This window comes from Homo sapiens, chromosome 5 (assembly GCF_000001405.40).
Source record: "Homo sapiens chromosome 5, GRCh38.p14 Primary Assembly".
NCBI classification, from domain to species: Eukaryota; Metazoa; Chordata; class Mammalia; order Primates; family Hominidae; genus Homo; species Homo sapiens.
The window spans coordinates 97,155,858-97,183,800 of record NC_000005.10 but is presented as its reverse complement, the minus strand read 5'-3'; the positions used below and the strand labels follow the sequence as shown (position 1 = coordinate 97,183,800).

The 27,943-nt window shown below is 37.5% G+C and overlaps 1 protein-coding gene and 1 pseudogene across 3 annotated transcripts; both read left to right on the top strand.

Annotated features, from left to right (window-relative positions):
- The first annotated feature begins 553 nt into the window (after positions 1-553).
- Positions 554-22,934, top strand: RIOK2 (RIO kinase 2). Of its 3 annotated transcripts, NM_018343.3 has the most exons (10): positions 554-675; positions 4,608-4,746; positions 5,953-6,069; positions 6,510-6,685; positions 10,538-10,626; positions 12,404-12,595; positions 14,949-15,041; positions 15,810-16,334; positions 18,654-18,750; positions 20,576-22,934. In NM_018343.3, exons 1-10 carry the CDS (start codon positions 610-612, stop codon positions 20,738-20,740), a joined length of 1,659 nt encoding a protein of 552 aa, NP_060813.2. In that variant the 5' UTR covers positions 554-609; the 3' UTR covers positions 20,741-22,934. The 3 variants fall into 3 exon arrangements, with proteins under 3 accessions (NP_060813.2, NP_001153221.1, XP_016865117.1); NM_001159749.2 differs by lacking the exons at positions 18,654-18,750; positions 20,576-22,934 and having other exon boundaries at positions 15,810-17,055; XM_017009628.2 differs by lacking the exons at positions 554-675; positions 4,608-4,746; positions 5,953-6,069 and adding an exon at positions 8,486-8,584 and having other exon boundaries at positions 6,608-6,685.
- On the top strand, positions 7,688-7,851 carry RNU1-73P (RNA, U1 small nuclear 73, pseudogene; annotated as a pseudogene).
- Positions 22,935-27,943: the final 5,009 nt, after the last annotated feature.

The window sequence follows — 27,943 nt, the reverse complement described above, 5'->3', positions numbered from 1 at the left end:
AAGCCTCCTAGACCAACCTAAGAGAAGTACTGAGCAAGCGCATGAGTTCCATTAACCACGCCCTCCGGAGCTGCCGGAGCAGGCGCAATTAGGAGTAGAGGGCGTGCTTGTGTGATTACAGTCCACTTTACCTTTAACAGATTTGGTTGTCTGGACTCTAGCTCAGGTTCTTTTACCCCTGTCTTGTTGGAAGTCACTTTGCCTAGAGTAGAAGTTGTTTGCGGGAAAAATTTGCTCCTCCCATTAAGTAACCACTTTGCTCTCTGAGGCGGAACGTGTCATTGAGGCAGCAAGTCCTGACAGATATGGAAAAAAAAAGGCACATTGTAGAGAATATCTACACTCCGCCAACTCAGTCACAACGCAAAAATTACACAAAAATAAAACGTTCACTTGTTACATACTATGTGTTTCATAAGACATACAAGTAGTTTTATTTTCCTATATCAATGAGAACAGCACTTCTAACTATTAACAAGGACCTATACTAAGACGCAGCGCGTGCGCGAGCCATCTGGCGCTGTAAAGCGCTTAGAGGCTGGAATAACGACCTGCCTTACGCTTTGCGGCTGTCGTCGGAGAGGCATCTGGGTTCGGACTGGGGCCGCCATGGGGAAAGTGAATGTGGCCAAGTTGCGTTACATGAGCCGAGATGACTTCAGGGTCTTGACCGCGGTAAGAAACCCGCCGTTCCTGTTCTCCCTTCCCCTTAACACTGTGTGACCTCTTCCTGTTCCTGCAAGTTTTCTGGGATCTGAGCAGGCACACTCTGGGACCCGGGACGTGGCAGAAGCTGGGAATGGAGAAGAGAGCATTCAGAAAGTCGGATTTTTAAAAAGGTTTTGTTTGGGAGCTTACCTTCCCCCAGATAGAGCAAAGGTCCCGTCTTCTAATAATTGTTTTCTTTTCTGCTGCTATTCGCTTTGCGCTGAAGAGAAACGCTTGCATCTCTGTGGCCTGGAAACTTCTCTGATCCTGAGCTTCCGACCAGCTGTGAAAGGTTTAAGCCCCCCCCCCCCCCCGAGATTTGATAATATTGACTTCCCTACTAACAGACTCAGTCGCATAGCAGTCTTTCTGATTCATTCAGTCAACACATATTTGTCGGTTTTTTAGTAGCAACATTAGGAGGTTCACTTGTTCAAACAGACAAGTGGAGAGAGAGACACAGATCATCAAGTAAACGAAAAATAGGATAATGGATAAATGCTATGAAAATGATAAAGGATAATGGCATAGAAAGTATATGTATCTGGTGGAGAGGAGGGGCACAAGTTATTGGCCTTTGGTAGACAATCAATAAATATTCACTAAATGAAAGAATGAATGGGGGAATAATAGGAGCTGTGTGAGAAAGAGACAGCCCAGTGAAGTCCTTGGAAAGAGTTGGAGGCAGAGGAAACAGCAGTAGTAAGTGCAAAGGCCTTGAGACAGAAAAGTCTTTGAAGAGAGGAAAGGCCAATGTAATGTGGCTGGAGCAAAGTGAGATGCACACTAATGGTTGGAGATGTAGCGGAAAAGGTGAGAAATTATGTACTACAGAGCCTTGGAGGTTTGGTAAAGAATGTGGGGGTAACCACTAAATGTTTTTAATCAGGGGAGTAACAAAATCTGATTTTATGGCCTCAGTCTTATGGCACAGAAATTAATATATAGATCAAGACATTTGTACATTTATTTAGGAGCCGTTATCTTTTGGTAAGGAGTGAACCCCATGATAAGGACTACCTATATTGTGTAATTATGTAATAGGATATGCGATGTGAGTCACACTGGTTCTTGCATTATGTTAAGGCTTCAAGTTTTGGATTTTTAAAATTAATCTTAAATAGCGCTTAAGTATTAAACTATCAAATGCAAAATCAGTGTGAAATTTGGAAGACAATGTTTACTTTGCCTCTCATGTAGATTCTTCTAATCAGCTGGACTTTCTCTATGAAAACCTACTATCACTTCGGAAAGATACCTTCCTTTCCTGCTTTCTCAGCACACTCATTCCTTAGTGTCTCTGACAGAAGTAGGGGTCAAAAGTAAGAGTGTTAGAGGACGGGGGAGGCAGAGACAAAGCATGGAAAATAAGTTAAATTTAAAAGTTAAGGTTTTGGTGAGACATCAAAATGATGCCAGATTTATCTTCCAAAACATTGGCGCTGCAATATTTAAATTATTTGTAAAGTTCACCAAGAAATGACTTAGTCATTAAATATGACATTCCGGTCTCAGTTGAATCTCACCAGTGTTGGTACCCTTTCTTGGGCCTCTCTTCCCTTTTACTTCTTTGGCTCCTCCTATATCAATAATCATTGTTTGACTAGCTGCCCTTAGCTTTCAATATGAACTTGCCCCAGAATTCTGCTCCCAAACATTCCTTTTCTTCCATTATCTCCTGCTCAGTGATAGCATCCACTTCACATCTTCAACTCTCACTTCTATAAAATAATTGACAATTTTTCCTTCTAATTATAACTTCATTCCTAAATATAGGCCCCTTTCCTATTTAATTTTCTCTCTTTCTTTTTTTTTTTTTTTTGAGACGGAGTCTTATTCTGTTGCCAGGCTGGAGTGCAGTGGCACAATCTCAGCTCACTGCAACCTTCACCTTCTGGGTTCAAGCGATTCTCCTGCCTCAGCCTCCCAAGTAGCTGGGACTATAGGCGCACACCACCACGCCCAGCTAATTTTTGTATTTTTAGTAGAGATGGGGTTTCACCATGTTGGCCAGAATGGTCTCGATCTCTTGACCTCGTGATCCACCCACCTTGGCCTCCCAAAGTGCTGGGATTACAGGTGTGAGCCACTGCACCTGGCCTCCAGTTTTCCTTTAAACATTTTTATTTGACTCTCAGTGCTCAAACCAAATTCAATTTTTTTCTACCCCCTTTCTCTTTTCCCAAGCTCTATAAAAAAAAAAAATAATAAAATCTTAAAACTTGCTTTTCCTCATCACTTCCAATTGTGGCTTTCCGTTCCCTTTACCCTTCCACATCTAATTGCCAAGCTCTCCCATAATACTTCCTAAAGATTTTTATTCCTTCCTTCCAGTACCACTACCACTTACCCTGTTCTGGTGGCTCTTTCCTCTGAGCTGGACTTCTGTCTTAGTTCTCCGGAGTACCCCCTCAGATTTTGCCATCTCTAAGCCAATTTGCATATTCCTGGTACATTAATGTCCTTAAAATAACCCTGTTCGTGTGTCTCCCACGCCTAAACATCTTCAAGAGCTTCCTGCTCTCATCAGGATAAAATATAAAAGTATTTGGTCTACATTTTAATGCCTTCTCTATCCTAGAAGTATCTTCCAGCCGCGTTTGCATGAATTCTATATGCTATCCCATCTGAGCTGCTACTGTACTCAGCTATTCTCTGTGGTCAGTACTTTCTTGCATATGTGCCATTTTCAAATCTTTTTCTTTCACTAATATCCCCTTGTCTGTTTTCTCTGTATGCCCACATCTTTTAAAAGTCAGTCTCTAGTTTTGCATCTTCCTTGGAACTGATCCCTCAGCTAGAAGTATTCTTATTCTGCCCTGAGCTACCTTTTTAAGCACTTATCACTTCTTAACTTCTAATAAACTTAGATGTATACCATTTTTTAAAATTTCCATCATGAGATAAAAATTTCTCAGAGGTAAAAAGCACATATATATATATATATATACATATATATATATATACATATACACATGCAGAAGAGCATGTAGGATAGAGATATATATATATGTGCTTTTTACCTCTGAGGAATAAATTTAAAAATATATATATAATATATATATTATATATATATTATATATATATAATATATATATATTTTATATATATATATTATATATATATATAAAATACTTTTAAGTTCTGGGGTACATGTGCAGAACGTGCAGGTTTGTTACATAGGTATACACATGCTATAGTGGTTTGCTGTACCCATCAACCCATCCCATCTACATTAGGTATTTCTCCTAATGCTATCCCTCCCCTAGCCCCCCACCCCCCGACAGGCCCCAGTGTGTGATGTTCCCCTTTCTGTGTCCACGTATTCTTACTGTTCAACTCCCACTTATGAGTGAGAAAATGTGGTGTTTGGTTTTCTGCTCTTGTGTTAGTTTTCTGAGAATGATGGTTTCCAGCTTCACCCATGTCCCTGCAAAAGGCATGAACTCATCCTTTTTTATGGCTGCATAGTATTCCATGGTGTATATGTGCCACATTTTCTTTATCCAGTCTATCATTCATATATATATATATATCCTCTACGATGCCTACATGTAGTACTTTCTCATTAAATACCTGCTTAATAAATATCTGGCATATCTGTAGTTTTTAAAGACAAATGTTTAGGTGTCATCAAGTATTTTAGCATTGACCAAATGTCATCAGTATGTCTAGCACTCACAGTTCCTACTCTTGAAATGGAAAGCCAATACAAATATCAATGATTAGATTTCAAATTGCAATTAAAAATATTTTCAAGAGACGGAAGTGATTATGTCTCAGAATTAGTTGGAGAACTGCATAGTCAGGAAAGCTTCAAGGAGAAGTTAATTTCGCAGGGTTTTGATAGACAAGGCTTTGTGTTGATTATGATTATATAATGATTCCTTTAATTTCAGGTTGAAATGGGCATGAAGAACCATGAAATTGTTCCCGGCAGTTTGATTGCTTCTATAGCCAGCCTTAAACATGGTGGCTGTAATAAAGTTTTAAGAGAATTAGTGAAACATAAACTCATAGCTTGGGAGCGTACCAAAAGTAAGTATTTTGAGGCACCATTTGTGATTTTTCAGGTAATTGGTTTCCACCAGAGCAAGTGTTCCAAAAGTCAAGAAGTAGAAGTTGCCAGACTAGTAAAGCATTAGACGAAGAACTGACAGAACACACTTCGGCCATATCCTATTAGTCAAAATAATCACAGGGCACACCCAGATCAAAGGAGGTGAAAAAAGAATAGTAGTAAGAACATGTAGGTACTGCAGAAGAGCATGTAGGTACTGCAGAAGAGCACGTAGAGTACTGCAGAAGAGCATGTAGAGTACTGCAGAAGAGCATGTAGAGTACTGCAGAAGAGCACGTAGGTACTGCAGAAGAGCACGTAGGTACTGCAGAAGAGCAGGTAGAGTACTGCAGAAGAGCAGGTAGAGTACTGCAGAAGAGCATGTAGAGTACAGAAGAGCACGTAGGTACTGCAGAAGAGCACATAGAGTACTGCAGAAGAGCATGTAGAGTACAGAAGAGCACGTAGGTACTGCAGAAGAGCACGTAGGTACTGCATAAGAGCAGGTAGAGTACTGCAGAAGAGCAGGTAGAGCACTGCAGAAGAGCATGTAGGTACTGCAGAAGAGCATGTAGGTACTGCAGAAGAGCAAGTAGGTACTGCAGAAAAGCATGTAGGTACTGTAGAAGAGCATGAAGAGCATGTAGGTACTGCAGAAGAGCATGTAGGTACTGTAGAAGAGCATGAAGAGCATGTAGGTACTGCAGAAGAGCATATAGGATAAAGCTATTGTGGCTACCATCTTTGGAAAATACAATCAGTAGTCATACCCTAGATCATTACTTCTGAAACCATCTGTGGTGAAGGATTAGTTTTTTCCAACCTATCACAGATCCTTACTTTTATAAAATACAAAAAAATAATTACTAGAAAAATGAAATGGATAACAGATATACAAAAACAGACATAAATTCTAGGTCAAATTGATATACAAATTGAACTTAAATTCCTCCTTTTATCTTGTCACAAACACTTACAGACCTGTCTGTAGGTCACATTTTGATTATCAGTACACTGGAGAAGAAATGCAAATTATAGGAAGAAATTGGAAGCTTGTGAGCCTGGGCAGTTTATCTTTTTCCAATGAAGACTTTATTGTTAAATCTTTCTTATGACTTGAACTTACGTGACTTGGTTGTACAATGTAACTGAAATATGGTCTTTATGCTTTGATTTTTGTCTAGCTGTCCAGGGCTATCGGTTGACAAATGCAGGATATGATTACCTAGCTTTGAAAACACTTTCTTCTAGGCAAGTAGTTGAGTCTGTTGGAAACCAGATGGGTGTTGGCAAAGAATCAGGTAAGTGCTAATAGTACTGTGCAAAGTATTTTCTTTGCTTTAGTTTATGTTTTCCCTTCAGAAACCTTTCCTCTTTTAATTTTCCCTTTTTTCTAACTAAACAGTAAGTTGGAAAGTTGATTGGAAGCAGTACAAATCAGAAGGTGTCCTTAATTAGTAGGTTATTATTTTCTCTGAACGTCTATCACTGAAAATTCATTTATACCAGGAATTAATTTTCTTCTAATAACTCCCAAGATATATCATTATTTATGTGCAAATATACCAGAATCCAAAATTCAAAACACTTCTGGTCCGAAGGTTTTGGATAAGGAGGGATACTCAATCTTTATTAGGAAAAATGACATTTTTGATACAAATAAAATTAGAGAAAGTTAGAATTGTTTTAACTGATTGGAATAAACGTGTAATAATGGTTGTTTTTGAAATTTTGTCTCTAGATATTTACATTGTTGCAAATGAAGAAGGACAACAATTTGCATTAAAGCTTCACAGACTAGGAAGAACCTCGTTTCGAAATTTGAAAAACAAACGCGATTATCATAAACATAGGCACAATGTGTCATGGCTATATTTATCTCGTCTCTCTGCCATGAAGGAATTTGCCTATATGAAGGTATTTATTTTATTTTGTAGTCATGCATTTTTTAGCCAAATAATACATGTGTCTCAAAGGCCTTAATGACAAGTGTGATTCTGTTGTCCCCACATCTCTCTAACCTTAGACTCAATTCCTACAGACAGACTCAATCTTAAATAACTCTGTTGATTATTTGGGCTCTTTTAAGTGATTTCCTTCTACGTTAAGGTATTTTAAATTGTTACTAATGCATAAGGGCAACACATTCTGTAATGCTGACAAGATGAAAGAGCCAAAAGTAATTAATGATGCTGTTACCTCACAAATATGTATGTGTGGATGTATATATATCTATTCAATATATGTAACTATACATATGTCTGTTTCTAATTGAAAACACCAGGTAATTATCATCTGTAGAAACCTTAGTGTCTCAGATAAGTTGGCTAGTTTTTTGTTTCACATAAAGGAACAAACATTTATAGATTTATATGTATATTAAAAATGGTAAAAATTGGCTGGGTGCAGTGGTTCATGCCTATAATACCAGCACTTTGGGAAGCCGAGGTGGGCGGATTACTTGAGGTAAGGAGCCCAGCCTGACCAACAAGGTGAAACCCCATCCCTACTAAAAATACAAGAATTAGCCGGGGATGGTGGTGGCCACCTGTAATCCCAGCTACTTGGGAGACTGAAGCAGGAAAATCACTTGAACCCAGGAAGCAGAGGTTGCAGTGAGTGAAGATTGTGCCACTGCACTCAAGCCTGGGCAACAGAGCAAGACTCTGTCTCAAAAAACAAAAATGGTAAAAATCTTTAGTTTTTAAGAGGTAAGGATGAAGAGAAGTGGGTTAAAGGATACAAACATACAATTAGAAGGAATACATTCAATGTTTGATAGCAGAGTAGGGTGACTATAGTAAACAAAATGTATTGTACTCAGGAGATGAACACACTAAATACCCTGACTTGATGACTTCTCATATATACTTAACAAAATGTTACATGTACCTCATACATTTATACAAATAGAAAAAAATGCTTAACCTGGCAGATGAAATGTCAAAATCTCAAAGACGGTTTTCTCAGGGTTAGGCCTATTCATTGCACTTCAGGTGTGCTGACCCCTGCAGTTTCCCCAAATATTGGAACTTGACTGCATATTTTGTGGCACTGGCGGACTACATTTATACTGTCCCCTGACATTAAAAAAAAAAATCCTTTATTTTTAACTTTGCCTTCAAAATTAAGTTCAGCATAGATTGTTAAATATAATAATATCCAAATTAAATATATCCAACAATAACTAAGTTAAACAAAAGATAATATTGTGTTTTTATAATCCTGCCAGTAGGATTTGTCATAGTTTATCTTCATTTTTCAAAACAATGTGAATTAAAGATTGCTACAGTGTGTGAACACCTGTTTCTTGAGGATTCAGCTTGTTCTTTGAGTGGGTTATATACTTAAATTTTCACTAATCATGGGAGATTTCTTAAGGCAGCATAAATTAGTAATACTGATACCATACATGTCAATGTACTTCTTATACTAATAGTTTGTATCTTGTAATATTCAGTCAGTAAATGAGCAGCTTGGTAGGGATCATTTACACATTTTCCCAAAAGGGTAGTAGGTGTTTTTCAGGATATTTATATTGAAGGTATAGGAATGGAATCTGGTTGCACATAAATGCACTCCTTAATGTATTGATTATTCATAAGAGAGGAACAAGAAGATAAAGATTGGGCTATAGCATGAGGTCTAGGCGATAGCACAAGTTCTAGACAAATATTCACAATCTTTAAGTTTATCACGTGCTATTGATCTGTCTAGGTATGCTCAAAATGGTCTACACTGAAAAAAAGTATTTAAAAACAAAGCAAAGAAAAATATCTGGGAAGTGGGAAGTGGTTTGGTTCTTGTTCACAGAAGGTAAGCAATAGACAACCTTTTGAAATTAATTGCTGGGGTAGTGTAGGGTGAAGGAGTGGATGCCAAAGAAATAACCAGTACGATCTGTGTCTTAAAGTTGAGAAGATAACACATGAAACAGAACCTTTTATTTATTTATTTATTTATTTATTTATTTTCAAGACAAGGTCTCACTCTGTCACCCAGGCTGGAGTGCAGTGGCACGATCACGGCTCACTGCAGCCCCTACCTCCTGGGCTCAAGCCATCCTCCCACCTCAGCCTCCCAAGTATCTAGGATCACAGGCATGTGCTACCATGCCTGCTTTGTAGAGACAGGACCTTGCTGTGTTGCCCAGGCTGCTCTCAAACCCCTGGCCTCAAGAGATTCACCCACCTCGGCCTCCCAAAGTACCGGGGTTATAAGCGTGAGCCACCACTGCAAGTCTAAGAACAATTTTTTTTTTAATTATATACTGAATTTAGAGAAACTTCAGTAAGTGATAGAATAGTTGATGGAGGAGGTTTCAGGTAGTGAGTGGAGCTGAGTGGAGCCATGAAGCTTGGATATTATTTGACCCTAAGACAGTGCATTTTGGCAGAGAAGTGGTATGGGCAATGACATGAATCTATGTGAGTCCTATGTGTTTAGGTGACACTGAGGTGACTGTCCTGACTGCGTTTCTTGGTGTGTATTGGAGAGAATATTGGGAGAACTAGGACTGTACAGGTGGATTAAAGAGTTTTGAAAACCAGGAAAAGTTTATATTTACAAACTGAAAAGAAAATTTACAGCCAATGTAAAAAAAAACTTTTTTTGAGGTGTAGTCTTGCTCTATCACCCAGGCTAGAATGCAGTGGCACGATATCAACTCACTGCAACCTCTGCCTCCCGGGTTCACGCGATTCTCCTGCCTCAGCCTCCCAGGTAGCTGGGACTACAGGCATGTGCCACCACGCCTGGCTAATTTTTTTGTATTTTTAGTAGAGATGGGGTTTCACCATGCTGGCAGGCTGGTGTCGAACTCCTGACCTCAACTGATCCACCCGCCTCGGCCTCCCAAATTGCTGGGGTTACAGACGTGAGACTCCATGCCCATCCCAATGTATATATTTTTAAATGGAATATTAACATCAGCAGGTTAGTCTGGTATTGGTACATAGAATAGGTTAGGTATGATGGCAAGAGCTAGAACACTTGTGGAGTAATGAGGTATATGCCTCCTTACAAGTATATGTTGGTGCAAAAGTAATTGCAGTTTTTGCCATTCCTAATACTAGCATTCTAAATGTCAAAGGGCATAAATCTAAGGTATTTTAAAGAAAGTAATAACAGGGCTTTGTAAACAGTAAGATTGAAGACAGTAAGCTTAGGGGAAAAGATGTATGGAGAGTCTTAACACTTGAATCAGACTACAACAGTGTATATTTTTCACATAATAGATTTATATTGCATATTGTGGCCTGGAGAAAAAGTTCAGTGCCCTATAAACCAAAATGTCTGATCTCTTAGAATGCCTCATTTCCTAATATGTCCGAAGATGAGTATTTCCTAAATTTGTTTCCAATTTAAATATTTTGAGCACATTTCAACAAATGTCAGAGACTTACAAAATAGGAAAGGATATACCCTAAGAGACTGTAAGCTTCTTGGGGGCTTTTTGACACTAATTTTAGAGTGTTTAGAAACTTTTTAACATTCATTTTTGTAACCCCAGCACAGTGCATAACATTTTGTAAATGTTCATTTTTTGTGGAAAAGTGAATTCAAACTTTTGTTTAAAATTTGCTTTTTATGTGTGGCTAATTCTACGCAGTGAATAAATAAGCTATGCATAAATAACCATGTGTTAACTACAATTTTATAAAGGTTTGTGTGTTTTTTTTCTGGTTGTAGAAAGGTATATTTACTTTTATTGTTCTTTAAAGAGTAATGACCTGTTCATTAGCTTACACCTGTTTTGCAACATTTTAGGCATTGTATGAGAGGAAATTTCCAGTTCCAAAGCCAATTGATTACAATCGTCATGCAGTGGTCATGGAACTCATAAATGGTTATCCACTGTAAGTATTCATTATTCTTAAAGCCATGAATCCTGATAAATGAATTTAAGTTTCAGGGTTTTTAATAAAATTTTTTTTAGTTAATGAAATATTGCCTCTGGGAGGTTAAAATTTATTTAAAGGAATAGACTCAAAGACAAATTAAAAACCCAGTTTCATTCTGACAATATGAACTTTGTAATCTCTGTGATTCATTCATTCATTCAATATTAAGAGACTGTTAGGTGCCAGGAACTTTTAATCTCAGCAGTGAACAAAACAAAGTCCCTGCCCTCATGGAATTTACATTCTGATGGAAGGAGATGTGCAATAAATAACTAAAGGAAATGTATATCAATTGTTAGTAAGTACTATGGATAAAAAAAAGCAGAGTAAGGGAGATAGGAAGTACTAACGGGACAGGAGACTACTGTTTTATGTAGGGTGGTCAAGAAAAGTCTCACTAATAAGGTGAAACCTCATCAAATTTTGATTCAGATTAGCAGCTATTGGAGTGGGAGTATTTTGAGCAGAGAAGAGATGTGATCTCATCAATCAGTGATCTCAGTGTTTTCAGAGGGTCACTCTGCTTGCTGAATTAATAGACTCTGGGGAGACAAAGAATTAGGAAGACAAGTTAAGAGGCTATTACAATAATCTAGGCAAGAAATGGTTGTAATTCTGATTACAGTGATAGTTGTGAAGGTGATGAAAAGTGGTCAGATTCTGAATGTGTTCTGCAGGTTGAACCAACATGATTTGAGATTGGATATGGATGTGAAGGAAGGGATGAGTCAATGGTGACACCAAGGTTTTTCCCCTGAGTAGCAAATTAACTGGAAGGAGAAATCTACCATGTATAGAAACAGGAAAGCTACAGGAACAGCATTTTGGAGTTGGAGGGTGGGACAGAATCAGAGATTCCATTTTGGACATGCTAAGTTTGAGATGCCTGGGAGTTAGAGAAGTCTACATTAAAATCAGTGTATATGTGGTATTTAAACCATTAACCTAGATGAGATCACCAAGAATGAGTCTAAATAAGAGAAAATAAAAGGTCATAGGATTGACCTTTGAGGAACTCCAGAATTTAGAGGTCAAGGAAAAAGATGAAGTACAAATAGAAAAGACTAAGAAGGTATGATCTGTGAGGAAGGAAGAACACCTGGAGAGAATGGTGTCCCAAGAGTTAAGTGAAGAAAATGTTCAAAGAGGTCAACTGACAGACCACATATGATGAGGACTAAGAATTGACCTTTGGATTTAGCAACATTGAAGTCATTGTAGTCTCAACAAGGGTGATCTTGGAAGCACTTTGGCCTCCCAAAGTGCTAGGATTACAGGGGTGAGCCATTGCGCCTGGCCCGTACATGCTATTATTGATTCTGGATGTGGGTGTGTTTGTTTAGAATATAATCATTTTTTCATAATTTTTCAATTTTGTGATACTATTATTTAGGTCACTCACTGGTTTGAAGTGGCTAGTGTTAACGTTATAAAAAGCCTGTTTGAAATGGTATGAGAGAGTAGGAGGAAACAAATTGGAAAAGCACATGTAGACAAGTTTGGCTGTAAAGATCAAAGAAAGGTAGTAGTAGAAAAGAGATACAGAATTGAAGCAGTGTGGCTATTTTTTTAATAGATGGGAGATATTATATCTGTGTGCTGATGGGAATGAGAAGAAAGCTGCTGGGGATACACAGCATGGAAATAATATATATGTTCACATGCATACATACTTTCGTTAAAACCGTAAATGAACACAAGTAACCTATTTTCATGCTTAAAATACTTTCAGATGTCAGATACACCATGTTGAAGATCCTGCATCAGTATATGATGAAGCTATGGAACTAATTGTCAAACTTGCAAATCATGGGCTGATTCATGGAGATTTTAATGAATTTAATCTCATTTTGGATGAAAGTGACCATATCACCATGATTGATTTTCCACAGATGGTTTCAACTTCTCATCCCAATGCTGAGTGGTACGTACTTGCTATTTTTTTATTTTTATTTTATTTTATTTTTTTGGAGACGGAGTTTTGCTTGTTGCCCAAGCTGGAGTGCAATGGCGCGATCTCGGCTCACTGCAACTTCCACCTCCCGGGTTCAAGCAATGCTCCTGCCTCAGCCTCCCGAGGAGCTGGGATAACAGACATGTGCCACCACACCTGGCTAATTTTTTGTATTTTTTTTTTTAGTAGAGATGGGGTTTCTCCATGTTGGTCAGGCTGGTCTTGAACTCCTGACCTCAGGTGATCCACCCGCCTCGGCCTCCCAAAGTGCTGGGATTACAGGGGTGAGCCATTGCGCCCGGCCCTTACATGCTATTATTGATTCTGGATGTGGGTGTGTTTGTTTAGAATATAATCATTTTTTCATAATTTTTCAATTTTGTGATACTATTATTTAGGTCAGTCACTGGTTTGAAGTGGCTAGTGTTAACGTTATAAAAATTTGGTTTTTTATTAAAGTATAACTACTAGAGTTTTCCCCATAAGAATTTGAATTTCTCTGTTGTAAATTGACAGACGTTCAAAAGTCAAATTTTCTTAGCCATGGAACCCTTTGTTCAAACAGACTTTTAGATGGAAGACCAATTGTTAAAACAGGTAAAAGTAGGGAGTGTAGTGGGGAACTCTAGAACCACTTTTGTCTTTCCCTTTTTCTTGCTGTTCCATGATTGCCTCCAAGAGAGATTCACCAAGTATAACTCAGTAATCTCGATGATCTGAATAAAAGTTGTGGTTTTGGACTGGACTCAGTTGTCAAACCAGTGATAATTACCTCTTGTCACTTTTAGCTTTATTTATTAGAAAAAAAATCACATAAAACTTTATCTCTGACACAGTGCAGAATCATGATATACTGCGATAATCATATTCTTCACATTACTTATTTAAACCAAGCCAGCCAAGTCATGAAACAGGACCTTATCCTTTATTTGCTTGAGGTTTATGATTCAATTGAGTGTAACTAAGGATTTTTTTTTCTTTCTGTTCCAAGCTTTATGAGAAACTTTTTTCCTAAACTAACAACTAGTATCACTTATATAATAGAGTATATTAATTCTTCCAGAGATTGAGCTTGAAGTAGTTTTGTTAAGTGAAGCGTCTCTTCATCCTGGTTTCCAGTAGAAAATGTCTATACTTATGCTACAGAAAGAAATGTCATTTGAAAATAAATTTTTAAAACGTTTTCAACAAAATAATACTAAAAGATTAATGCCTGGCACTGGGGTGGTCAGTACTCTTTGGATGATGACTAATCATGATTTTTATTAATAAGGAGTAACATAGTCACACAGTAAAGGAACATCTAGGAGCCTCCAGAGTGTGACAGATTATGACATTCTAGGTTTAGGCTGCATCGTTCTATGGAGAGACATTGTGATTTAATTTCAATTTTTATGAACCAGTTCTGGGGCCAAGGAGCTGTGCTAATTGCTAGAGATTGAGATATAAATAACCCCTATATATGCTTTAGAAAATGTTACTGTCTCGTAGGGAGATGTAAACATATATAAAATAGTCTTTTTAAAATGTATTAGTATTTTTCCCAGAGTACCCTGTGAGCAAAGAGGAGAGGCATTATCTTCCTATTTCCAAACTTCATCTTTCTCAAAGAGAGTCAATTGCACATTATCCTGTCCTTAATTCTCCCTTGTCTGGAAATCTTCTAGAGAATTGAATCCATTTTTGCTGCTTTGTGGTGGCCCAAAAAGGCAGCCTGATATTCAGATATTGTTCTACTTTTGGTCCAGATTAACATGTCCTCAGATTATTTTTATAGGCTGTAGCATTATTTATCCCTTTGGGTGTTATTGCAAATCGGCTAATGGATAACAAAGATACATAAACATAATTCAGTAGTCTCCAAACTTAACTGTTTAATATTAATATCTTTTTATCGTCAGATCTTTCAGTTGGCTAGGGGTTCTAGTGAGTGTTGCTGATAAGAAGCATAGCCAGACTCAGGACGAACAGAATAAGTGGAAACCTATCCCCAAACCATAGGCCCATTATCTTATTTCCTGGGGTTCACATTCATCTTTCCCTAGTGTATCTAACTATATACCAGTAACTATGACAAAACCTTGACTTTCCTAACCGTAGGAACTGCATGGCATTGACAGCTTATATCCTTGAGATTTCCTTGGATTTTAGTTTTTCAAACACACTGGTTAACTCATTTGTATCTTTTTTCTTTTGTGTAACATCTTTTATCTCCTTGTGTAAGGAGGAGCAATACCATTAACCAATAAGTATATTGTCATTGGCTAATAAGGAAAAAGAGGAGCAATAAAGACTATATCATAAATGATTCTTGCTTTTGCAGGTATTTTGACAGAGATGTTAAATGCATTAAAGATTTCTTTATGAAACGTTTCAGCTACGAAAGTGAGCTTTTTCCAACTTTTAAGGATATCAGGTTTGTACTCCCCATTGCTTTACATAATAGAACAGTTTAAATATCTGGTCTGTGTATTTCTAAAAATTAACATTTTCATCTAAAAAACTTTCCAAATTTTGACACGTAATCACTGTTAGATGTCATTGCTCTGTAGTACATAACTGAAACTTAAAAACTTGAAAATACCTGCATTTGGTCCATTAAGGCACTGTTACTGAATTTTAGGAAGCGGACATATCTAGATTCTTATAAATTCAAGAACTTTTATTCTATTTTGGATGCTATTTGAGTAACTCATTCATAAGGAATAACACCAAACATTCATTGAAATTTGTGTTTTTCCTTTATCAAGGACCAGGAGGTATCTTTAATTGATTCTCAAAACATAACTATCATGTGCATTCTCAAAGCTCAGTTTTCTCATATTTATTTTATACACTTAAGATATTTTCTGATCTGGGATGAGTCACATAATCTGAAGGAAATCCTTAGCCCCCTTTGAAAGTTAATTTACAAAGTTAATAAACATAAGCTGAGGTTTTTATAACCTTTTTATTTATATTGTTGCTTTTCAGTTATTTTATTCTTAAAATGACAGCCAGCATATACCTTTCATATTTGTTTACCTGTGTCATTTAAATATTACATTTTAGGGAAGGAAAATTTATTTTTAACATATAAGCTATTAAACTCACTTGAATCATAATTTATCAGAGTAGTAGATATTTGCTCCTCTTAGATAAACATTTTTTCTCTCTTTCTATGCTTGACGCCTTTTTTTTCTAGGAGAGAAGACACTCTTGATGTGGAGGTTTCTGCCAGTGGCTACACAAAGGAAATGCAGGCAGATGATGAACTGCTTCATCCATTAGGTCCAGATGATAAAAATATTGAAACAAAAGAGGGATCTGAATTCTCATTTTCAGATGGAGAAGTGGCAGAAAAAGCAGAGGTTTACGGGTCAGAAAATGAAAGTGAACGGAACTGTCTAGAAGAATCAGAGGGCTGCTATTGCAGATCATCTGGAGACCCTGAACAAATAAAGGAAGACAGTTTATCAGAAGAGAGTGCTGATGCACGGAGTTTTGAAATGACTGAATTCAATCAAGCTTTAGAAGAAATAAAAGGGCAGGTTGTTGAAAACAACTCTGTAACTGAATTTTCTGAGGAGAAAAACAGAACTGAAAATTACAACAGGCAAGATGGTCAGAGAGTTCAAGGAGGAGTCCCTGCTGGCTCTGACGAGTATGAAGATGAATGCCCTCATCTAATTGCCTTGTCGTCATTAAATAGAGAATTCAGGCCTTTCAGGTATAGACTTCTGTCGATTGCTTTTTAACTTTAGTCTTGAGACTGATACTTTGTTAGATTCTAGTAAAAGAATGTTTTTTTCAAATGATGTGACAAAATTGTATTCTGCCACCTTGATGTATAAAATGAAAGCCAAATAATTTTTTGTTGTTAAAAACTCAAAATAGCTTCCTTTTCAATTGACCTGATTCTAGGCAGCCTATTGACTAAATTTCAAGTAATTCTGCCTTAAAATACAAACTGATGGCTGGGCACAGTGGCTCGCTCATGCCTGTAATCTCAGCACTTCTGGGAGGCCAAGGCAGGCAAATCACCTGAGGTCAGGAGTTTGAGACCAGCCAGGCCAACATGGCAAAACCCTGTCTCTACTAAAAATATAAAAATTAACCGGGCATGGTGGCCTGTGCTTGTAATCCCAGCTACTTGGGAGACTGAGGCAGGAGAATCACTTGAACCTGGGAGGCAGAGGTTGCAGTAAGCCAAAGATCGTACCACTGCACTCCAGCCTGGGTGACGAGCAAAAAACTCCGTCTCAAAAATATATATATATATACAAACTGATGATTTTAAAATTATTGCAGGTCTCTGGATACATTGATCAGGTTTTAGATGGATGAGTTATTCCTCATATATTTTCCTAATTACACATCTGATGTGTGTTTGAGTTATGTAAAGGCATGTAAATATTAAAACATGCAATAAATGTACTTTCTATATGAAACATCTGCAGTGAATTTTCTCTAGTACCTTGAGCCTTCTATCCTTTGTTCATGTGTAGTTAAAATTATCTAATGATATTATGTTTTCTTTTAATAATTTTTTTTTGTAAATATTAATCAGGCTCAGCTTAGATTAGGAAAAGTTCTAAAACTTAATTTTTGGATTTGGGATTGCTTATTCAGAATCAAATTGTAGTTAAATGAAATATTGGTTTTATTTATTTCAAAATAGTAATATGACAATTAAAATTAGTTCAGCAATACATTTATTAAACATTTTTCAGTACATGTTTGGGCTTATATCTTAAGCCTACCTTTATCTTTAAAGTTTTATTCCTGAAGCAAAACATGAGAATTTTGTTCCTTTTTCATATAGCTGTGTATCTGTGTCACAGGGCTACTGCCATTTAAATAATAAACTTGGAAAATTAAATCAGAAGCTTAAAAGGAAAAGAGGGGTGACAGAGGCTCAGGATTTTGAGTAAGTGATTGTATTAGACTGGATTCTTCAAAGAAACAGAATAAATAGGAGATTTATTTTAAGGAATTAGCCCATGGGGTTATGGAGGCTGAGAAGTCCCAGGATCTGTAGTCAACAAGCTAGAGACCAAGGAGAGCCCATGGTACAGTTCCAGTCCAAATCCAAAGAGCTAAGAACCAGAAGAGACAATAGCATAAGTTCCAGTCCACATCCAAAGAAAGGAGAGGACCCATGTCCCAGTTCAAAGACAGTTCTCTCTTACTTTGCCTTTTTGTTCTCATCAGGCCTTCAATGGATTGGATGAGGTCCACCCACACTGGGGAGGGCAATCTGCTATACTCAGTTTATTGATTCAGAAACGCCCTCAAAGACACACCCAAGTTAATGTTTAACCAAATATATGGCACCCTGAGGCCCAGTCAAGTTAACATATAAAATTAACCATCACAGTGATAGAAGAAAATCTATATAGGATTAAATGGTCTTTTAAACTCAGAATGGGAACAATAATTTTGTTCCCACTCTGGATACATGCTGGGCAAAACTTCCATTCAAAGTAAAAGCAGAACAGCAGATGTTGCTGAAAAATATTAACTGTTAGGAGTTAATATCGTCCGAGTTTTTATACATTGCATATATTGAAACTTTGAGCCATGTGAAAAACATTAGTCTCTAGGTTGCAGATTTTCCTACCCTAGTGGAGCTGACTATAATGAGTACTGTCTGTTTCCATTATATCTTCTGTTTGTGAAGGTGGAAAGAGTCTCAAAAATTTAGATAGGGAGAGACAGATTTATATAGTTCAGTGAAAGAAGAGGAGAGGATTATTAGAAAAGGGAAGATGAATTGTGGGGAGGTGATAAATTTCAATGGCTTAAGCATTCTACTGTTTTTAAATTTTGATAGTGACTAACAAAATGCTGGAAAATGAAAATTGTTAATGTATAGAACTTAACAGTAGGTAGTTTTATCTTCACAGAAATTTTAAAATATAATGATCTTTCTGAAGTATTTTATGTCTTCAGTTTTGCTGCATGCAAAAAATAATATAAATTAATCAAATGGGATTCATTACATTATACAAATTAACTAGATAAATTGTGGGTTTTTTAATTTTAGAGATGAAGAAAATGTGGGAGCTATGAATCAGTATAGAACAAGAACTCTGAGTATCACTTCTTCAGGCAGTGCTGTAAGCTGTTCAACAATTCCTCCAGTAAGTAGTCATTCAACATGTACTGAATGTTTATTACATCACTACTGTGATCTGATTGCCTTGTCTCATTAAACAATAATGTATGCCTTTCAGGTACAGACTTCTGTTGATTGCTTTTTGACTTGTCTTGAAACCAGTACTTTCTTTGATTTTAATAAATGAATGTTGCTCAAAGGATGTGGTAGAGTTGTGTCCTGCCACCATTATGTGTAAAATGAAGGCCAAATGACTTTTTGTTGGTAAAACTCAAAACACCTTCTTTTTCAATTGTCCTGATTTTAGGCAGCCTGTTGACTAAATTTCAAGTAATTTTTTCTTAGAATACAAACTGATGAGTTTCAAAAAATTAATGTAGGTCACTTGATAAATTGATCAGGTTTGAGGTGGATGAGTCATTCTTCATATGAGCTGAAGATTAATGAGCTTGGTCACTGTGAGGATTATAAGGTGTGTAAGCCTCAGACACTTGGACGTACATGTTAATGGTATAAAATTTTGTTGTTGTTGTTTGTTTTTGTTTTTGTTTTTTTTTTGAGATGGAGTTTTGCTCTTGTCATCCAGGCCGGAGGTCATCCAGGCTAGAGTGCAGTGGCATGATCTCAGCCCACTGCAACCTCCGCCTCCTGGGTTCAAGCAATTCTCCTGCCTCAGCTTCCCGAGTAGCTTGGATTACAGGCGCCTACCACCATGGCTGGCTAATTTTTGTATTTTTAGTAGAGACAAGGTTTCACCATGTTGGCCAGGCTGGTCTCGAACTCCTGACCTCAGGTGATCCACCCACCTCAGCCTCCCAAAGTGCTGGGATTTCAGGCGTGAGCCACTGCGCCCAGCCATTTGTACTTGGATATAAGTACAAATTTGGCCGGGCATAGTGGCTCAGACCTGTGATCCCAGCACTTTGGGGGCCAAGGTGGAAGGATCGCTTGAGCCCAAGAGTTTCAGGCCAGCCTGGGCAACATAGCAAGACCCCTGTCTACAAAAAATTTAAAAGTTAGCCAGGTGTAGTGGTATACACCTGTATTCCCAGCTACTCAGGAGACTGAGGCAGAAAGATCACTCAAGCCCAGGAGGTTGCAGCCACCGTGAACTGTGTTCCTGCCACTGCACTCCAACCTGGGCAACACAGCAAGACCCTGTCTCAAAAAAAAAAAGAAGACCCTTGTTCCTGGCTTTGCAGAGTTTTGCAGCTATCTTCTTTTTTAGGAGAAAAGTTGAATGATACAAGGTTATATACAGTTATTAAATAACAGACTGTAGTGCTTCAGAGAAAGAAAAGGTCATTGTGAACTGAGTATTTCACATTTCTTATTCATCTTGTAAGTCATGTGACTTGCACAGTGTATCTTAACTGATAAGTAACTTGAATTTATGATCAAAAGACATATGAAGACTTTTCCATGGGTGATTGCTACCATCAGGTCAATTCTACAGCTGAAACTGTGAAGGCATTCTTGGATATATTCAGCAATACTGAATGCTTTCAAAAATAATTTTCTATACAAAATCTACTCTAAAAGCCTACTTTTAACCTAAAAAGCAGAGGAACAAGCAGTTTCATCTTGTTTTTTCCATCAGTTTTCATGATGGACACTAGGTGGCACTATGGTAATTTTTTAAAAATTCTGCCTATACACTATATTTTTTGCTATATAATCTGTATTTCTGTTTGGAATTTAATTTCTCCTATATAACAGTTTCTATATAGTACTGTCAGTGTTTGGAATCTTAAAATTCATGGTGTCAATATATAAATAGAACAGATATTAGCAGTGTACTTTTTGAAATGGTTCATTATCAGTAATACTAATTTATGAAATCTTTCCAGGAACTGGTGAAACAGAAGGTGAAACGTCAGTTGACAAAACAGCAAAAATCAGCTGTCAGACGTCGATTGCAGAAAGGAGAAGCAAATATATTTACCAAGCAACGTAGGGAAAACATGCAAAATATCAAATCAAGTTTGGAAGCAGCCAGCTTTTGGGGAGAATAATATATTTAGGATCTTGGATATGTTTAATATATTTTTTAAAGTTACTGTAATTCCTTTTTGAGCCCTCATTTGTCTTTTTTGAGCCAAGGCTATCATATATTAATAAATAAACCCTCTTTCATCTATAAATTTGGTCATTCAGTATGTGTCTTGCAAAGAATAATTACCTGCCAAAGCAGTCCATTTTTTTCAAAGTAATTTGGGTAACTACAGTTACGTAACTTTATTAGAGACATTTGCATATTTTTAAAAATCTAAATAACATTTTTGTTGTTTTCTGTTTGTTGAGGATGATATGCTACAATGCACATAAAGCAATTAGAACAATGTTTAGCACATTCTTAAGCATTCAATAAAACATGGCTATTAGAATCATAATGATTCTGAAATTCTGCTGACAATTTGGTTGCATTTTATTTGGCAACTGGAGGACTTCACTGTCTTATTTTTCTTTAGAAGTAAAGATAAGCCTTTGGAAGTAAAGATAAGCCAGTGATGCACAATTTGCTTAATTAATTGATTAATAATCTGTTTTGTGCCACTTACATTGGTAATGTGGTCATGAGAATGGAAACTTACTTGAGATAGTCTACCACAATTTTTACAGTTGGCAGCTTGTAAGCAGGCCTGAGTAGCAGAAGAGTTAGGGGTTGGGGAAGGTGGAGTAGAATGAGGAATGAAATGTTCTTTCTCATATGCTTATTATATAAGTGGGTCCGGAACATGTTCTCACCTCAAGGTTAACAAATACCTAATGCAGGAAAGAAAATACATAGCCATGGTCCCTTCCTCAAGGACTTTATAATTCAGTGAGATGTAAAGATGAGTGCTTAAGTGTATGCACCTGATTATTGTCTCTTCATTGCCGCATAAGTCGGAAAAGGGGATCACTTGCAGCGAAAAATGGCCACTAGATGGCAATATCACCCCATAGTCACCAAACAGGATTACTTGCATCCCTAATTATGTTCTACCAGAGGGAATATAGTACAGACTTTTCCAAGATTGATAAAGACAGCAGATTCCCTTTCACCTTTGCCAAATTAACTCTACTAGCTATTTGCAAGACCTGTAATTATCTAATAAATTGGCTTAAATATATAGAAGCTAGAAAATGCCAATTCCTCTTCCCTCAAAAGTTACCTGACATTCAAATATTTAAATACCCTTGCTTTGCATTTTAGATATATCTTTGAATTCAGGTATTCATTTTGTATAATCTCTCAACTTTTAAGCATTTTTATAATGTAAAGTTGAAAACAGCTTAATAGAACCACAGAATGTTTATTTTGGAGTCATTTTCTTATATTCAGAGCTATGAAAGCAAATTGGGAATAAAGCCTTATCCTGCTCAGCTTTACCTAGTTGACTCAGTTGACTTTTGAGTATCTACTACATAAAAAGCCCATTACTATTAAGAAACTCAAGACAAACATGATTTTTACCTTTAATAGCCTAAGATTTCTTGTGGGCCAAGGAATTAATTATTCCAATCAGAAATGGAGGCCTTACCTCATTTGGGCAAAGATTAGTGCTAGTTATTGAAGATTTACTAATAAATGATCTGTTAAGGAATTTAGTTTTTTTTGGATATGTTGTTTTGGTTGTTGAAAACTAAGGTATAATTATAATAGTTATTTTTTGAAGATATGTTTGGCTAGCCATCAATTAGAAGTTAGAGAGTTTGTCCTAACAGATAAGCTATAACCCTCACATTTTAAAACATGCATAGTGAACAATGAACAAAAACAAATTCAAAATTTTACTAATGTAAAGCTGTATATTGTGATTGTTAAAACACTTTTTTTTGCCTAGGAGTTCCAGATTTAAATCCTGGTTCTACACTTCCCAAACCTCAGGTACCTTCTGTGGCCTCTCTAACCTCAATTTTTTTACTTGTAAAATGGGGACATTTAATAGTATACCTCAGTGTCGTGAAGACTAAATGAAGTACCACTTGTAAAGAGTTTATTACAGTGCCTGACATATACTGTATGGTTAGTACTGCTAAAATGACTTCTTAAGGTTACCAAAAGGAAAATTCCACAAGCTGACCACCTTTCCTATTGTGATGGTCACTGGTATTTCAGCTATGATCCTTTGTTGTGTATTTATCCAGACTGAAAGATGTTTTTCTAGTAACCATCTTGCATCGTCTTAGTCTCCCCATTAAATAAACTTTTCCTACAAACTATGCGGTTTATATTTGTGCTAACTTTGTGGTATTGATAGCCATTGGTCTGTTCTTTGGCACATAGCTGGCTATCTTTGAGGTTTCTCCAAAACCATAGATGTTTAATGGATACTAATCAGAGTTAGTGCAGCTCGAGATAATCATTCTTTTAGCCAACTGCTTAGTAAATTTTCTGACAAAATACATAGCTGTCTAATTAAAAAACTCTGCCTGATGCTGCCTTCCAGGTTGCTACTTACAAAGGATAGAGGGATGAGTTATGTTAGGTTCTCAGAGCACTTTCTGAAGTGTAGGTTTATTTCACTGTCACAGATTCAGCACTCTGGGTGGGCTACAGTTCGCCATGCCCAGTCTTCTTTATCCCTCCTTAGAACATCTCCCTAGAGAGCATCAGGCCATATCTTAATTCGCCCTTGCTTTAGTTTATGAAGTACTGGAGCCATCTTATGCACCTGTGTAAGGAGGCTGGAGATTAAAGTTCAGAAAAGCCATGGGTTACACAGTTGTGTAATAACCAGGAGTATGGGGATAACTCCAAAGCTACAATACTTTTATAGAGAACTGTGTCATTCACAAAACCTATGTTGTTAGATTTTAAAGACTGCAAGTTTTTCTTTTACCTTAATATTGTAAATAATGACATTAAAAATATTAACATTTTGCAGTAGAGGCCGAACAAGATGACCAAATAGAAACCTCCACCAATCATTCTCCCCACAAAAACACCAAATTGAACAACAATCCGTATAAAAAAGCACTTTCATAAGAACCAAAAATCAGATGAGAGATCACAGTACCTAGTTTTAACTTACCACTGAAAGAGGCACTGAAGAGGGTAGGAAAAACAGTCTTGAATTGCTGATGCCACCACTCCCCCATCCCTTGGCAGCGGCCACATGGTGTGGCAAGAGAATGTGCACTTGGGGGATGAAGAGTGCAGTGACTGTGGGACTTTGCATTAAAACTCAGTGCTGCCCTGTCACAGCAGAAAGCAACACCAGACAGAACTCAGTGCCCATGGAGGGAGCATTTAGACCAGCCCCAGCCAGAGGGGAATTGCCTGTCTCAGTGGTCAACACCTGAATTTTGGCAAGACTTGCCACCACAGGCCGAAGTGCTCTGGGTCCTAAATAAGCTTGAAAGGCAGTCTAGGCCACAAGGACTGCAATTTCTGGACAACAAGTTGGGCTGGGCGTGGAATCAGTGGACTTGGAAGACACATGACTTAGTGAGAAACCAACCAGGCTGGCCAAAGGAGTACTTCAGCCACCTCACCCAGTTCCACACAGCACAGCTTGCAGCTCCAGGACAGACTACTTCCTTTTGAGGAGAGGAGAGGAAAGTAGAGAGGCCTTTGTCTGGCAGCTTGGATACCAGCTCAACCATAGTGCACAGGGCAACAGGCAGAGTCTTGAGGCCCCCACTTCAGGCCCTACCTCCTGGACAACATTTCTAGACACACCCTGAGCCAGAAGGGAACCCACTGCCTTAAAAGGAAGGACCCAGTCCAGGCAGGATTCATCACCTGCTGACTAAAGAGCTTTTGGGCCCTGAGTAGTGAGCAGTGATAGCCAGGCAGTACTCACCATAGGCCTTGGGTGCAACTCAGAGATGTGCTGGCTTCAGGTGTGACCCTGCATATTCCCAGCTGTGGTGCCTACAGACAGAGACTCTTGCTTGAAAAAAAAAAAAAAAAAAAAAGGAGAGGGAAGAATAAAGGGGACTTTGCCTTGCACTGTAAGTACCAGCTTGGCCACAGTGGAGTAGAGGACCAAGCGGGCTTTTGAGGTCCCTGATTCCAGGCCTTGGCTCTTGGACAGCATTTATGGACCTTTTCTGGGCCAGAGGGGATCCCACTGCCCTGAAGGAAGAGTCCCAGGACTGCCAGCACTCAACACAAGCTGACTGAAGAACACTTGGGCCTTGAGTGAACACTGGTAGTAGCCAGGTGGTACTCACCATGGGCCTCGGGTGGTGGTGACCATGGAGAGAGACTCCTTTGCTTGTGGAAAAGGGAGGGAAGAGTTGGAAGAGCTTTGTCTGTGGCTTGGGTGCCAGCTCAGCCACAGTAGAATAGAGCACCAGGTAGATTACTAAGGTTTCCAACTCCAGGCCCTGGTTCCCAGATGGTATCTGTGGGCCTGCCTGGGGCCAAAAGGAATTCTGCTACCCTGAATGGAAGGCAACTGATTGTAGGGTCCTAGGGCCTTGAGTGAACGTAGGCAGTAGCCAAGCAGTGGTTACTGCAGGCCTTGGGCAAGACCCAGTGCTGTGTTAGCTTCAGATCTGACATAGCACTGTCCCAGCGGTGGTGGTGGCCACAGAAGTGCTTGTGTCACCCTTCCCCCAGTTCCAGGCAGCTCAGCACAAAGAAAGAGACTCCATTTATTTGGGAGAAAATAAGGGAAGAGAGTAAGTCTTGCCTGGTAATCTAGAGAATTCTTCTGGATCTTATACAAGACCACCAAGGTGGTACCTTTATGAATCTGCAAGAGCCATAGCATTACTGGGCTTGGGGTACCCCCTAATGCAGATACAGCTACAGTGACCAAAAAGTTAAATTATGACAACTAAGTCCCTTCAAATACCTGGAAAGCCTTCACAAGAAGCACAGGTACAAACAAGCCCAGACAGTGAAGATTATAGTAAATACCTAAATCTCATACCTAGACATCAATGAACATCCACAAGCTTCAAAACCATTCAGGAAAACGAGACTCCACCAAACAAACAGAATAAGCCACCAAGGACCAATACTGGAGGGATAGAGATATGTGACCTTTCGGACAGAGAATTCAAAACAGCTGTTTTGAGGAAAATCAGCAAAATTCAAGAAAATAGAAGGAATTCAGAATCCTATCAGATGAATTTAACACAGAGACGGAAATATTTAAAAATAATCAAGCAGAAATGCTGGAGCTGAAAAATGTAACTGACATACTAAAGAATGCATCAGAGTTCTTTAACAGCAGAAATGATCAGACAGAAGAAAGAATTAGTGAGCTTGAAAACAGGCTATTTGAAAATACACAGTCAGAGAAGACAAAAGAAAAAGGAATAAAAAAGAATGAAACAAGCCTACAAGATCTAGATAATAGCTTCAAAGGAGCAAATCTTAGAGTTATTGGCCTTAAAGAGGAAATAGAGAGGGAGATGGGGTAGAAAGTTTATTCAAAGGGATAATAACAGAGAACTTTCCATACCTAAAGAAAGATGTCAATATTCAAGTACAAGAAAATTATAGAACACCAAGCAGATTTAACCCAAATAAGATTACCTCACGACATTTAATAATCAGACTCTCAAAGGTCAAGGATAAAGAGAATCCTAAAAGCAGCAAGAGAAACAAATAATTTAAAATGCAGCCCTAATACATCTGGCAGCAGACTTCTCTGTGGATACCTTACAGGCCAGGAGAGAGTGGCATAACATATTTAAAGCGCTGAAGAAAAAAAAAAAACTTTTATCCTAGAATACTATATCCAGCAAAAATATCATTCAAATATGAAGGACAAATAAAGACTTTCCCAGACAAACAAAAGCTGAGGGATTTCATAAACATCAGACCTGTTCTACAAGAAATGCTAACAGGAGTTCTATCTGAGAGAAAAGAGCATTAATGAGCAATAAGAAATCTGAAGGTACAAAACTTACTGGTAATAGTAAGTACACAGGCAAACAAAATATTATAACACAGTAATTGTGCTGCCCATATCTTGCAGAGAAAGAATAAGAGCTGAACCAATAAAAAATAATAACTACAACCAGTTTTCAAGACATACACAGTACAATAAGATATAAATAGAAAGAATAAAAAGTTTAAAAGTAGGGGGACAAAGTTAAAGTGTAGAGTTTTTATCAGTTTGTCTTTTTTGCTTGTTTGTTGGTTTATGCAGTTAGTGTTGTCATTGGTTTAAAATAATGGGTTATAAGATATTATTTGCAAGCCTCATGGTAACATCAAATAAAAAAAGGTACAACAGATACACAAAAAATAAAAAGCAAGAAATTGATACATACTGCCAGAGAAAATCACCTTCACTGAAAGGAAGATGAAAAGGAAGAAAAGAGGAGAGGACCACAAAACAACCAGAAAACAAATAACAAAATGGCAGGTTAAGTCCTTAGTTATCAATAATAACATTGAATGTAAATGGATTTCACTCTCCAATCAAAAGACATAGAATGGTTGAGTGGATTTAAAAAAAAAAAAAAAAAACAAATGATCTGTTGCCTACCAGAAACACACTTCATCTACAAAGATACAGATAGACTGAAAATATAGGGATGGAAAAAGATATCCCATGCAAATGGAAACCAAAAAAGAGCAAGAGTAGCTATATTTCAGACGAAATAGATTTTAATATAAAAACTATAAAAGGCAGTCACGGGTCACAATATGATAAAAGAGTCAATTCAGCAAGAGGATGTAACAATTTTAAGTGTATATACACCCAACACTGAAGTACCCAGATATATAAAGCAAATGTTATTAGAGCTGAAGATAGATAGAACCCAATACAATACTATCTGTAGACTTCAACACTCCACTTTCAGCATTGGACAGATTTTCCAGATAGAAAATCAACAAAGAAGTATCAGACTTACTTTGCACTATAGACCAATTTCATCCAACAGCTGCGGAATGAATACACATTATTTTCCTCAGCACATGAGTCATTCTCAAGGATAAATCATGTGTTAGGCCACCAAACAAGTCTTTAAAACATTCAAAAAATGAAATTATATCATGTATCTTCTCTGATCATAATGGAATAAAATCAGAAATCAATAACGAGGAATTTTGAAAACTATACAAACACATAGAAATTAAACAATATGTTCCTGAATAACCAGTGGGTCAATGAAGAAGTTAAGAAGGAAATATTAAAATGTCTTAAAACAAATGATAACAGAAACACAACATACCAAAACCTATGCAATACAGCAAAAGAAGTACTAAGAGAAAATTTTATAGCTATAGGCACCTATATGAAAAAGTAGAAAAA